Source organism: Homo sapiens, chromosome X (genome assembly GCF_000001405.40).
Source record: "Homo sapiens chromosome X, GRCh38.p14 Primary Assembly".
Taxonomy (NCBI): Eukaryota; Metazoa; Chordata; class Mammalia; order Primates; family Hominidae; genus Homo; species Homo sapiens.
The window spans coordinates 117894650-117907653 of NC_000023.11; the positions used below are offsets into that span (position 1 = coordinate 117894650).

General features: G+C 34.6%; 1 protein-coding gene across 9 annotated transcripts in view; it reads right to left on the reverse strand.

The window, feature by feature from the left end:
- The window catches only part of KLHL13 (kelch like family member 13), a 219528-nt gene continuing 209687 nt past the window's right edge, over positions 3164-13004 (reverse strand). For all 9 annotated transcript variants that reach the window (NM_001168301.2, NM_001394866.1, NM_001168303.4 and 6 more), the window contains 2 exons: positions 7184-7297; positions 3164-4746 (listed from right to left, as the gene is read on the reverse strand). In NM_001168301.2, coding sequence (NP_001161773.1) covers positions 4259-4746; positions 7184-7297 — 602 coding nt within the window. In that variant the 3' untranslated portion in view covers positions 3164-4258. The remainder of the gene's footprint in view (positions 4747-7183; positions 7298-13004) is intronic.

Genomic DNA, 13004 nt, shown 5'->3' on the forward strand with positions numbered 1-13004 from the left:
TAAATAAAGTTTTATTGAAACACATCCACACTCATTCATTTACATATTGTCTGTGTCTGCCTTCACACTGCAACAGCAGACATGAGTAGTTGTGATGAAGACCATATGGCGCACAGAGATTAAAATATTTGCTGGCTCTTTACAGAAAGTTTGCCAAGCCCTGTTGTAATATCCCCTCTTTTTTTCTTTCGATAAATGTATGGCCTTTAGTCTCACTTTTTTAATTCAGTCTTTTTTTATTTTAATCACATTGCCAAATAACACATACAAGGTAAAGATGCATTTGACAAAGATTTGATAATACTTGATAACACATGATTAGTAAGGAATGCTAAATGTAAATAGAGATGAAATATCCACTATGAGATATGAATTATGCAAATGAGGTTCATTGATGAAATAAATGTTTTAATTGTCTGGCATCACTATTGCTTAATTATGCAAACATCTCATTTGATCATGTCAATATTCAGTATTTTTTAAACTGACAAATGCCCAACACATTACCTAATTGTTGAACTTCACTTACTACACATTACAAAATTGCATCCTAAATATTGCATTGATGTATTTTGTATCAGAAGTTAATGCATTGGTGTATTAGAACGTATTTTATACCAGAAAATGATGTATTGATGTATCAGAACATACTTTATATAGTATATACAAAAATAATGCTGATTTTTAAATAATTGTGTATAAATAATGTACTCATAATTGGCAATAGTTATCTTGATATGTGGAAGACCATGACTTTTTTCTTCCTTCTTATACTTTTCAATTTTTCTATATTTTGCATTTTTATAAATACCAGAAGTTTTAAACACTGAATTATTTGACCAATTTAAAATAAAACTCCCCATCTCTAAGAACTTGCTTTGCATTTACTTTTCTTCCTGCCTACTCACAAAGCTATTTGATGTGCAAAGGACTAAACCTGTGGTTTTGTGGCTGAAAATGAAAAACACAAGGAAAGGCATAGGAGCTAAGAATAAAATTAGAGGCATAGCCAACTTTCCACACAAGAATGTTTGCTTACTATTCTTGTGGGAGGAAAACACGCAAAGGCCCTTGAAATGAGAAAATAAAAGGTCACATGGTGGAACTAATTAAATAAGACACTACTTAATTGCCCTGTGGTGCACCCTGTCATGGGCTAATATGGAATTATTTTAGCAACTCCCAAAGAAATATTACATAGGTATGTATTTAAGCATGCATCTATATTTTAGTCTCTAAAGTAATTTTAGAAAGGAAAGAGTTTCAGGTCATAATTTCACTTTTCAGGGTAAATACTGATTATCAGATGAATTTTCTAAAAATTATAGAAATAGGCAAATTCTTTCTTCATTTTTCAAATTCCAGTAATCTTGACCAAGAAGGAAAATCACAAACCTTTTGAGATTTAGTGAATTCTGTAACTCCTCTTTCAAGTAGGCTAAGAACTTAAGAGAAAATATGAGAAATGCTTATAAAGCCAACTAATAACTGGCAGGTATTTTTTCATAAATAAAAAGTTAATTCACTGTAAAGCAAAATGTGTAATAATTTTCCAGCTGTTAGAATTGTTTAGTAACAGCACCTACAGTAAAGTGTGAAATAAATTGCTATTCTAAATAACATACATAGGTGCAGAAAAGCTACGTTGTCAAAAAGAAGTGGATATGTATGTTTTGTGTTATTCCCTGTGGCAGACTGCTAGAAGATCACCAGCTCCATTTCTTCTTCTTTCTGGGCACACAGCTTTCTGATATTTTCTAGTTTTCTTTGTGTTTATATGTAGCCACAGAACTGACTTCTGGCCACTAGAATGTGGGTACAGGTGATGTGGGTAGAGGTAATGTATGCTTCTTTCAAGCCTGACCACTATAGCCCTCCCACCTGCAATCCTCCATTTTTCTTCTTCTGACTGACTGGAGAGGACTCTGAGAACCTAAAAAGGGGAGGCCACAAGATGGAAAGAACCTTTGCTGCTCGGAGAAGAGCCACCTGATCAGGCTCTTCAGTTGTTTCTGATAATTCAGTTGTTTCTGAATTATCAATCTGTCTTATATACTCCTTGTATTAGTCCATTTTCACATTGCTATGAAGAAATATCCAAGACTGGGTAGTTTATAAAGAAAAAAGAGGTTTAATGGACTCACAGTTCCACACGGCTGGGGAGGCCTCGCAATCATGGCAGAAGGTGAAGGGGGAGCAAAAGCATGTCTTACATGGTGGCAGGCAAGAGAGCGTGTGCAGAGGAACTGCCCTTTATAAAACCATCAGATCTCATGAGACTTATTCACTATCACGAGAACAGCATAGGAAAAACCCGTCCCCCTGATTCAATTACCTCCCACCGGGTCCCTATGAGAGCTACAATTCAAGATGAGATTTGGATGGAGACACAGTCAAACCATATAATGCCTCCATTTTTAGACAGGTGTTAACTATGTGCAAATGCCTGAATTCACTCTGCCTATAAGCAGAGAACTGATACCATTGACCAGCTGCTCTGACTTAAGAACAATAATGCTCAAGAGGGATTTTCAAATTCATACCAAGCTTTTCCTATTGAGAAAATTGTTTCCTTAATTATTTAACTCAAGATAGATGCAGTGACATCTGCACTGCTAATTACCTAATGGTAAAGAAATTTGGAATCTCACTAGTTGTATTATCATAGCCCTAAATTTTTGGCTCAGATTTAATCTGATCATCTGCAGATAAAGTAGAGAAGATCACAATACGATGCTAATATAATTCTCAAATAATCTTTCACAAAAACATTTTTCCTTTGGGATCCCAGGTCGACAAATCTCTAAGGTAATTTTACACAATCCCTTCTCATCAGGCAAGATGGATCCTCTTGAAGATCAGGGAGACTAAACTCGGAATTGTAACTGCTCTTCTGGTTTAGATATGGCTGGCAGTTCTTCTGTGGTGATGAAAAGCCAGTTAGCATCTTCCATAATCTAATTCCCCAAACACAACCAGCAATGAGTTTTGATGAATAAGGTTAGATTTTGTCAAATTCTTTTTTTCCTTGAATAAAAAGGCATATTCACTCATCCAAGCTGCTCAGAGCTGTAAATTCTGATCACATTTTGCCATGCCAAAAATATAGATATTTAATCAAAGGAAGTCAAATCAGACAATAATGGGATGTCTCAGACCAAAATGACATTAAATGTTTTTATTGAACAAAAAAAGATAAAACATGGAAGTTGAATTTACTGAGCAAAAGCAGCTCTCCAGGTGAAGCTGCTATACTTTGTGCTAAATAACCTTATGAACTGAGTATACAGAATACATATAATATGCAAGTTACCTCAACAGCAAAGGAGAAGGAGTAGAATACAGTTTTTGAAGATAAAATCTGGTCAAGTGACAAATTTTGTTGCTCAAAATTTCTAGCCCTTATCCACCTAAATTCTGTATGGTTCTACATATATGCATTCAGTATGTGCATACTGAATTCCCATTTTAATGGAAGCTGCTTTTTGGAAGAATTCTTTTTAATTTCACATTTCTTTGATGTGCCACTCAATTTTTAAAAAAATTATATTTGACATATGTGCATGTGTGTATGTGTATGTATGTATACACACTTTAAAAACACCAAACCCTTGTTTATAAGTAGAGGGTTCATGCTGCTTTTTAAATTAATATTAGTGAATTTAAGCTACTTCTCCTGTGTGTCTAGGAAACTTTGTGTTCTCAATGCACCCACACAGTCAAGTGGGTTGACAGATATGTCAAAAATACTTTATGAAAAGAGGGAGGTAGCTCATGCGAGTTGGCAACCTTTTGTGTATTGTTTCCTGTTCAAGCAGGCTGCCTCCCTTTGACATCTTACAGTCAAAGATGAAAGGAAAACTTTTTACTTGAAGCCTAGTGAGCACAGTTGTACATTTACTATAATCCACCTTCAACTTGGCTTATTGGGTTTACTAATGTAAGATGACAAATACCTTACACCCAATACACAGCATTTAAAAAGTACTGAAGAAACATTTTATAGACAATACTTTTTTTTTCATATGTTAAACATCAGCTTCTATGGGATACATTTCCAGAATGGTTGTGTTACCACTTTATAAACATTCTAGGCCAAACAAAGAGCACAAATAACATCAATGTTGTCTTTTTTCCAATATCTGTATCAATTACCAGAGGGTAATCCTAACATATATACTACTTAAGGGGGAAAAAGAAGAGAATTTATGACACATTGCAAAGATAGAACTACAGCATCTTAGTTGTAGAGATGATCTTAAGGTGCAGAAAGAGGGGACTCTCTAGAAGGTGATGGTGTGGTTTCTTCTGGTGGAAAAACTGTGAGTGTGCAAGCACGAATGCCACCAAGGGATTCTGGCAGATCAAAAACCTTATGCCATTCATCTTTATCTGGATCATATTTCTGCACTATCTCTACCATACAACGATTATTCCAAGAATACCCCCCAACCACATAGATTTTATTTTCGAAGACAGCGACCCCAACATCACTCTGCCCTCTTAACATGGCAGCAATTGGGGTCCACTGGTCAAGGATAGGTGAATAGTATTCACAGCTTAGGACATCATCATAATCACTTGTTCCTCTGAAGTGATTGCCACCAATGACATAGAGCCTTTCTCCCACTGTACACATGCAATGCAGACCTCTGACAGTGGTCATTGGCGCCTTCTGGATCCATTTGTCAGTATCAGGGTCAAAGCACATGAGCTCCTTTTGGAAAGTATCATGAGTAATTCCTCCTAAAGAATGAAAACAATAGTTTTGAAGTAAATAATTATAGAAATGCAAAAGTAATTAAAGGAGCTCTGTCACAGATAACTTTTAGTCACATATTATGACATATACCTTATCAATACTGTTCTTAGGACTGTCTTCCCTCTATAAATACATTCTCTGGATTAAAAGTAAAGAAAATAGCATTTTCATCTTCTTAAAGAACAAAACAATTACTTTTTTTGCAATCACTTACATTATTGCAATGACTTTCTCAAATGTAGATCCCTGGTATTTAAAAGGCTTTGCTGAAGGAAAATATATTTTGATCACTGATAGAGTTGGGTCTGTAGTAAATTCCAACTACAAAGCATCATTCACTACTTACTGCCTTTTAGTGGGTACCCTCTGGGTACTGAGCACTGGGCTAGAGCACATTAAATTCCAGGTTCCCATTTCCTCACTTGTCACAAAACAATATCTACTCTAGTTATTGCATCAGGATTGTGACTCTGAAGTGAGATATTTATCAAAATGCTTTGAAAAAGTTGAAAGTCTTGCACATGTGTAAAAGCTTATAAGAATATTCAGAATTGTTTATGTTTATAGAGTTTTCTGTGGGCAGAGTGAGGGTGGATAATGTCATCTCTTATCAGAATGCATATTTAAAAATCTAAAGAATTAGAATGCTGAATATACGTGGAATTTTATACATGCACCAATTTGTTGTTAATCTAATTTAGTCTGTATCATCTACAAAGTGTACTCTTAGATCACATATAAACCAGTCTCTACAATGAAAGTATTAAACGATACCTTCTGTAGACAAGGGAAAGAAGTAAGCTAATCTTTAGTCAAATCATTCAAACCTTTACTGTCAAATGGCCAGATGCCAATCACTATCACTGTTTCCTTCTGCTTTTTAAAAATATTTTCCTTGTGCTTTACAGAATTCCCAGAAAGCAAAACAGTGTTCATTGTTTTGAAAATCAGCTATAGTTTCTAACCACTCTTGATTGGGAAGGTCATTTCTGCAATATACGCCAGTTATGCCAAAACACCACTAAAACAATTCAGGTGTCATTTTTCTCAGAGGAGTTGGAGCTCTCATTATAATGGTACAGCAGCTGCCCACATAAAATAGATAGATGGTGTAAATCATTGATTAATGGGAGCATATTTATTACCTGGATGGCTCTTCCAATATAAGACATTCTGTAGTTGCTCATGAATTTAACACCAGAAACCTGCCAATCATATACTATAGGCCTTTCATTGATTCTTATTGATTAAAAATTTCATAAGGCAGTGGTCAATCAGGTCACAAATAGTGCCTTTACACCCTTGGTCTCTAGTAATGTAACTGCTGGCCTGGCACTGGCAGGCCTTCATATGGGGAAGAATTGTCCCAGGCAGAGTGTGTCAGGGCCAAATGATAATAACCTGACTAACAAAGTTAAATGTCAATACCAGAGGTGGTCATTACATTAAAGTGAGACTTCTTCCTAAATTCTACAGGAGAATGAAAGCAGAAAATGCATTAAAAAAAGAAAGAAATTCTACAGTAGATTGATTTAAACACCAACAATTTGAGAATGAAAGTTGCTACTGGGACACTGTGAACAAACTATAGCCATTTCAGAATTTTTTAACAGAAAAATATATCTTCATGTGCATAAAATACAGATAATCAGCACAGAAATATTTATGCAATGACACCATAGTAGAATCCCCCTATAATGCTAAGGAAGAAGGAAACCCATATTATGGACTATACTGAAAGAGAGAATGAACATTATTATGTACTATTATGCATATTGGAAGCACGTTTTATGCATAGGAGAACTTATATGTTATATAATGATACACTCCTTCACATAGTTTAGCTAAATCTTAAATAAAATGAATTAATTGTTGCTACAGAAACTATGAATGGTGTTTATCAGAATACAGAGCATGGGGACTGGAAAGCAAAATTTGAATGCTTTCCAATTTTTTCTAAGTTATACCTTACAACAGGATTGGTTTACTAGTACTCTTATAAATTTACAGAATGCCCAAGACATTCATATGCAAATACACACAAAAATAGTTTCTAAAATCAACATAAATTATATTTTGATTCTCCGTTTTTCTGGATTTTTTTTTTTTTTGAGATGGAGTCTCGCTCTTTCACACAGGCTGGAGTACAGTGGCGCAATCTCGGCTCACTGCAACCTCCGTCTTCTGGGTTCAAGAGATTCTCCTGCCTCAGCCTCCCAAGTAGCTGGGATTACAGACGTGCACCACCACACCCAGTTAATTTTTGTATTTTTAATAGAGACAGGATTTCACCATGTTGGCCCGCCTGGTCTCAAACTCCTGACGCCTGAATTATTATTATTATTACTACCACTATATGGAAAGATAACCATATAGTTAAAAGCTTATATATTATATTGTGTTCACATGATACTTGTTTACCTGAAATATACATCACTCCTCCATACACAGTTCCAGCATGGCCATAGTGGGGCTCACTCATTTTGGCAACATAGGTCCATTCATTTGTTCTTGGATTGTAACATTCTACTGTGGCTGTTAAAAAAAAAAAGAAAAGAAAATTATTTTTAACTTCAAATTTAGCAATTAATTATTTTTCTCTTAAGTGGAACAGTAATAATATCCAAACACTTGAAACATATCTATTATAGCTATGATAGATATGTGTAAGACTTTGGGGGAGCTCTTACAGTAATTATTGAGACTATATTAATAATATAAACCATTAGTACATGTTACATTAGACTAGATAGTGTAAGAATCTAACAAATTTCTGTCATTGCAGAAATCACTAAGATTTATTCTGTAATCTGCTTACATATTTATAATTTGACATTTCTCCATTTTCTTTGCTCTAAAAACATAGGAAGAAAGGATGAAAAAAATCAAAAGAAATGAAAAACTCCTCAATTCTGGGTCCCCATGTTGATAGAAACAAACGTTAATACATAAGAAGCAAACTTTTACATTGAGAATGAAAATATACACACTTCTTGGTTTATGTTCTGAAGCCCACTGCTTTAATTCATATACAGACTACAAAATGGACACTGATAATAATTTCTCTACATTTATACTTTAAAGCTAATAGTTCGTATATACCCACCATCATTGCAGCCAGTACTACTCTTAACCTGAAGATGGTTGGCGGCATAATATGAAGATCTTTATTAAGAATACTTCCTGTCAGTAATGTATTTATCATCTTTTAACATAATGTATTTTGGAGAAGTGACCTCAACTCACTTAAGTATCTTTCAATCAGTCTGTTATAACCTCAAGAACAGAACAATGTCACCAAGAAAGATGGAAAATGTAATCACTTTTTAAAAGGCAGAGAAGCTGTTAAGAGAACTCATCAAAAGCATGAGGTCTAGATTGACTTGAAAAGTTCATATTATTTATTGCAGACACTGCCAACTGCTAATCCAATTTCTTGCGTCCCCCAACCCTACTTTTTTAAACTAACAGAACCACAACACTGCTTAGGGAAGCACTACACCAAGCTAAAAACGAAATTTAATTTAGCAGGTTCCCTTGAAGCTTTGGTCCACCATATGATATAGTTCTGGGCAGCGACGGGTAAGCAGAAGTTTATTGAGTAGGACAATTTGATCAAGCCACTGGAATTAGGTTTAGCTACTTGCAACCAAATGCAATCCTGATGAATCAACCTTTGAATGAGATTCTCTACTTAAAAAAAAATAACATGGTGACAGGCAAAACACACACACACACACACACACAGAGAGAGAGAGAGAGGAGAGCGAGAGAGAGAGAGAGAGAGAGAGAGACTACTTTTCCGCTCTATTCAATAATTTCATTTCATCATCAAATTCACTACGCAAAGTATGCTTTTCTCCTCCAAGCACACCTATATCATGCCACTTCTTGTATCTCTCTACTGACTTCCTTTTCCACTTACTTTAGCTTTGAATTTTCAGTCTTATTTCAAAGGCTTTTACTATTCTCATTTTTACCTACTGCTTTGTTGGCTTTGTTCATTGCTTTAGGCCTGGATCCTTGCCAATTCTATTTCTTTTAAACCCTATTTCTAAAATTAATAACAAGTTAAACTGCCACATGCCCCAGTACTGTTGTTTTTTTTTACTATTTCCAGTCACTGGATGCCTTTTCAAATGTTCATTTCTATTTGCCTTTGGCATGACTTTTACCTAACGGACAAGCAAAATCCTACATTATTATTCTCTCTCTCTCTCTCTCCTTCTCTCTCTCTCGCCACATAAGAGAAAACCTAGTGCATTGATTGGTACTTGGCATTAGCAAAGCCATTAATGGGAAGCTTTTAGAAGTAATTAAACCACACATCCTATCAGAAACGGGGTCTAAAAAGACTTCCAGATATCATCTTCATCTGCTTGAAGCCAAAGACAGGATTCACTATAGTTTTACACTTTTCTTAATGCGGGACTCTGACTTAAACTTTGAAATTTTTGGATTGTAACTGTCCTTTCTTATGTTTAATTCAAACTGTTCCAATGTGATTTCCATTAGTTTCTTCTTATTCTTTTTATAGTGGAGTTAGAATTTGAATACTTATTCACTTTTTATTATTATTAATATTTTCCTATGTAGAAAGATAATTCCTCTGTCAGTGACTTAATTGCATTTTCCCCTAATAGTGGTTATAAGAATCCATTTGTACTTTCTCACACAGGAGGCCCTCAGTTCAAGATAGCTATTAACCACCAATAACAAAATTACTATATAATAGTCCATCATTCTTAAGCTTTTTTCCAGCTAAAAATGCATCTCCTTTAGCTGTTCCAGGCATTTAATTTTTATTGTCAACTTTTATTGTCATGCAATTCTCCATGCAGAGTTGCTATTGTTATCAGTAAAATCAATAGTATTTTATTTTAAAATAAAATACATCTAATTAAAAAGTAGATACACATGCTCTTATTTCCATTTTCCATATTTACACGACACTCAGATATAGGTTAGTACCAACAACTCTGATGGGAAGAGGGAGTAAGGGATGATGCAAGGCAAAGAGTTGGAGCCACAAAGCAGTGCTTCAATCGTAGTCTATAAGAGTTGGAAATGGTAAAGAGGCAACTGGAAAAATCTAGAGCAGGTGGCAGCAAACCTCAGTCCATAGGCCAAATCCAGTCTACTTCCTGTTTTGTAGGGCCCAAAAGATAAAAATATGAATGATTTTACATTTTTTACACATTGAAAAAGAATCAAGACTATTTTGTAACTTATGAAAATTCTATAAAATTCAAATTTCATGTTCACAAATAAAGCTTTATTGGAGCACAGCCTCACTCATTTGTTTATGGATTATGTAGGGTTGCTTTTACACTACAACAGCAGAGTTGATTACTTGTGACAGAGATTTAATGGCCCACAAAGCTGGAAATAGACTCTTTCTGGCCCTTTACAAAAGTTTGCTGGCCCCTAATCTAGAGAATTAACTTCAGTAGTTTGGTGGCCTAGTGTTTACATTAAAGAATCTCTCCAATTTAAGAATTATACTTAGGTTGGTTATCTCACATATATCAGGAGTTCTTATTTTCTGAGATAATTCCATAGGAATCCAGAATCGGTCCCAGAAGAGGATGTGGAATTTATTTGTTCTTTAAGATTAGGAAAGAGATCAGCCTAAAGAAAATCATTTAAACAGTGATGGCTGTCATACAGGGGAGATGGACTCTAGAAACATAGAACGCTGGTGAGTGATCAAGAAACCCCCAAATCCTTTGGGGGGTATAGAGGCATTTAATAAATTTTAGTAGTTTTATTGTGCATGTATTTGAAAAACATCTAACATGTTTTCTATAAGTTATTTCATTATTTGAAACCTTAACTTATTAATATTTAACTGAAGTGAAAGATATTGGAGCTGTCATAATCTTCTTCAATATAGGAAGCCTCAATAGAAGATTGATTTCTTATATGACACAATTTTGAAAGATGCCAGAAATAACTGACTCCTTTTACACTTAAGTGACAGCTACTCTAAGCCTCCCCTAGTTTCCCATTGTAACCAGTGTCAAAGGAAAGCAGCATTTTGAAGGAATTATATTTCAGCACTAAACCAGGTGAGCACGTGTGCTAGTGCGTGCACACACACACACACACACACACACACACAGTCTTTTTTTGATGAACAATGGGCTTAGGTTTCCTTTGGTCCAAGTACCCCATGGAAAGATTTTAAAAGGCCTAATGCATTAAAGTGATCTAAACTGTCTTGCAAATGTTGCCACTGTTTTTTTTTTAATTTTTAATTTTTGTGGGTACATAGTACGTGTATATTTTTATGGGGTACATGAGATGTTTTGATGCAGGTATGCAATGTATAATAATCACATCATAGAAGATGGAGTATCCATCCTTTCAGGCATTTATCCTCTGTGTTACGAATAATCCAATTATATATACTCATACTTATTGTAAAACATACAATTAAATTATTATTGACTATAGTCACCCTGCTGTGCTATCAAATACTAGGCCTTATTAATTCATTCTAACTATTTTTGTACCCATCAAATTTTTCTTTTTATAATTATATACAGGCAATAGTTACTGTGTGTATGAAGTGATATACTGGTACTAATCAACCTATTAAATTGTTAAATGACTTTCCCATCAATCCCCTCTTCCTGCCACCCATTCCCATCACCTCCTTCTATTTACATAGGCATATGAATGTCTCAACTTAATCAGTTACAATGGGAATGTTAATTTATTATAACAGATGTTAATGTGTGCGTTGAAGGAGGAATTCTATTTTTAAAAAGCGCTTGTAGGGTAGGGGAAATGTTAAAACCTCAGTTTCTGGCAGGAACATTCAGAAATATAGGCAAGAGTTTCTTTAGAATCAAAATCTGCTATTCTGCAAAAACAATGGGTCCAAGAAAACTGGAAATGCCAACTAACACAAATTCATTTTTTATTTATATAAAGAGAAACACGATCATGGATAGAATTCAGGAAATTTCATTAATATTATTCTTTGGGAGCAATAGTAATCAAGGCAGGTTTCATCAAGTTTGGTTACCTCCGTAATACAGGATGTGACGTGACAAGACAATCTACTTCTTGCTTCTATTTGAGTATAACATAGAAAGAACTCAAAGGGGGTGGAGTGGATCAGAAACAAATGAAACCTCTTGCTTCTTGGCTTTATCTAATGACTCTTTTTGGCCTTTTTTCTCCTGAAATCAAGACTCTAAATTTGAATGCACTTACTAAGTCAATCACAAAATATTTTTTAAACTTCCAATATATTATATAATAAAATGTTTAGTACAGAATGCGTTTGATGGGTATGCTGATTTTAAGGGACGCAATCATTTTCTACAAAAGTTTAGCTACTTATAGGTTACAAATCTATGAGGTCATTATAGATTTGTAATCTATAGATCATTTCAAATGGAATAAAATATCAAATAATTGGATGATAACTAGAATTAGAATTCTTGGAATAGATGGTTTGTGCCTGTATTATAATGACATGTGCCTTTTTTTAAATGCAGTTTATGAAATAAGATTAAAATGGACCTATATTTACCATTAGAGGGGAAATTTTTTTAAGTCATTATCCTTAGGTTAAGCTTTAGAAATTTTATTGTTAAAGCCTAAATATGAATTTAGGAATACCCTAAGAAAAGCATGATTTCCTTGTTTCTTTTCCCTTTCAAAATGAAACACAGAAGACTGTTTTTAATCAGAGATGGAGGGGTGGTTTCTGAAGGTCAGGAGCAAGGATTCCTGTGTATGAGCCACTTGCCCAACAGTGTGGTCTATTTCTAGTTCCTAGATGGGTATACCATAGGAGCAGCTGAAAGAGAGTTGGGATAGGTTCAAAGAAAGAAGCCTCTAGCATCTTGGTTTTATGTAATGACTCTCCTTGGCCTGAAGATTAAAAACTCCCAGAAGAATATGGCTTTTAATTAGTATTAGGAACTATATATTGAAAGCTAAGTAGCCGCATATTAACAGGGGTGATAATATCAACAAGCAAGGACTGACTTTGAAAAACGGAGCTACTTCCTTTGAGAAAAGAAGACTGACCAAGTTAATGACCTGTTATTTGTGAAGAAAATATTTAAGAAAACATTATCTTATACAGGGATTTTCTAAGAAACAACCAAGTCACTACTTGCACCTTCTAGATATTTCCAGATACCGCAAATTTAAAATAGTATAATAACATGAAAATAATGTGTGTAGGTTGACTGAGGAGGCCTAAAGAACAATTGTA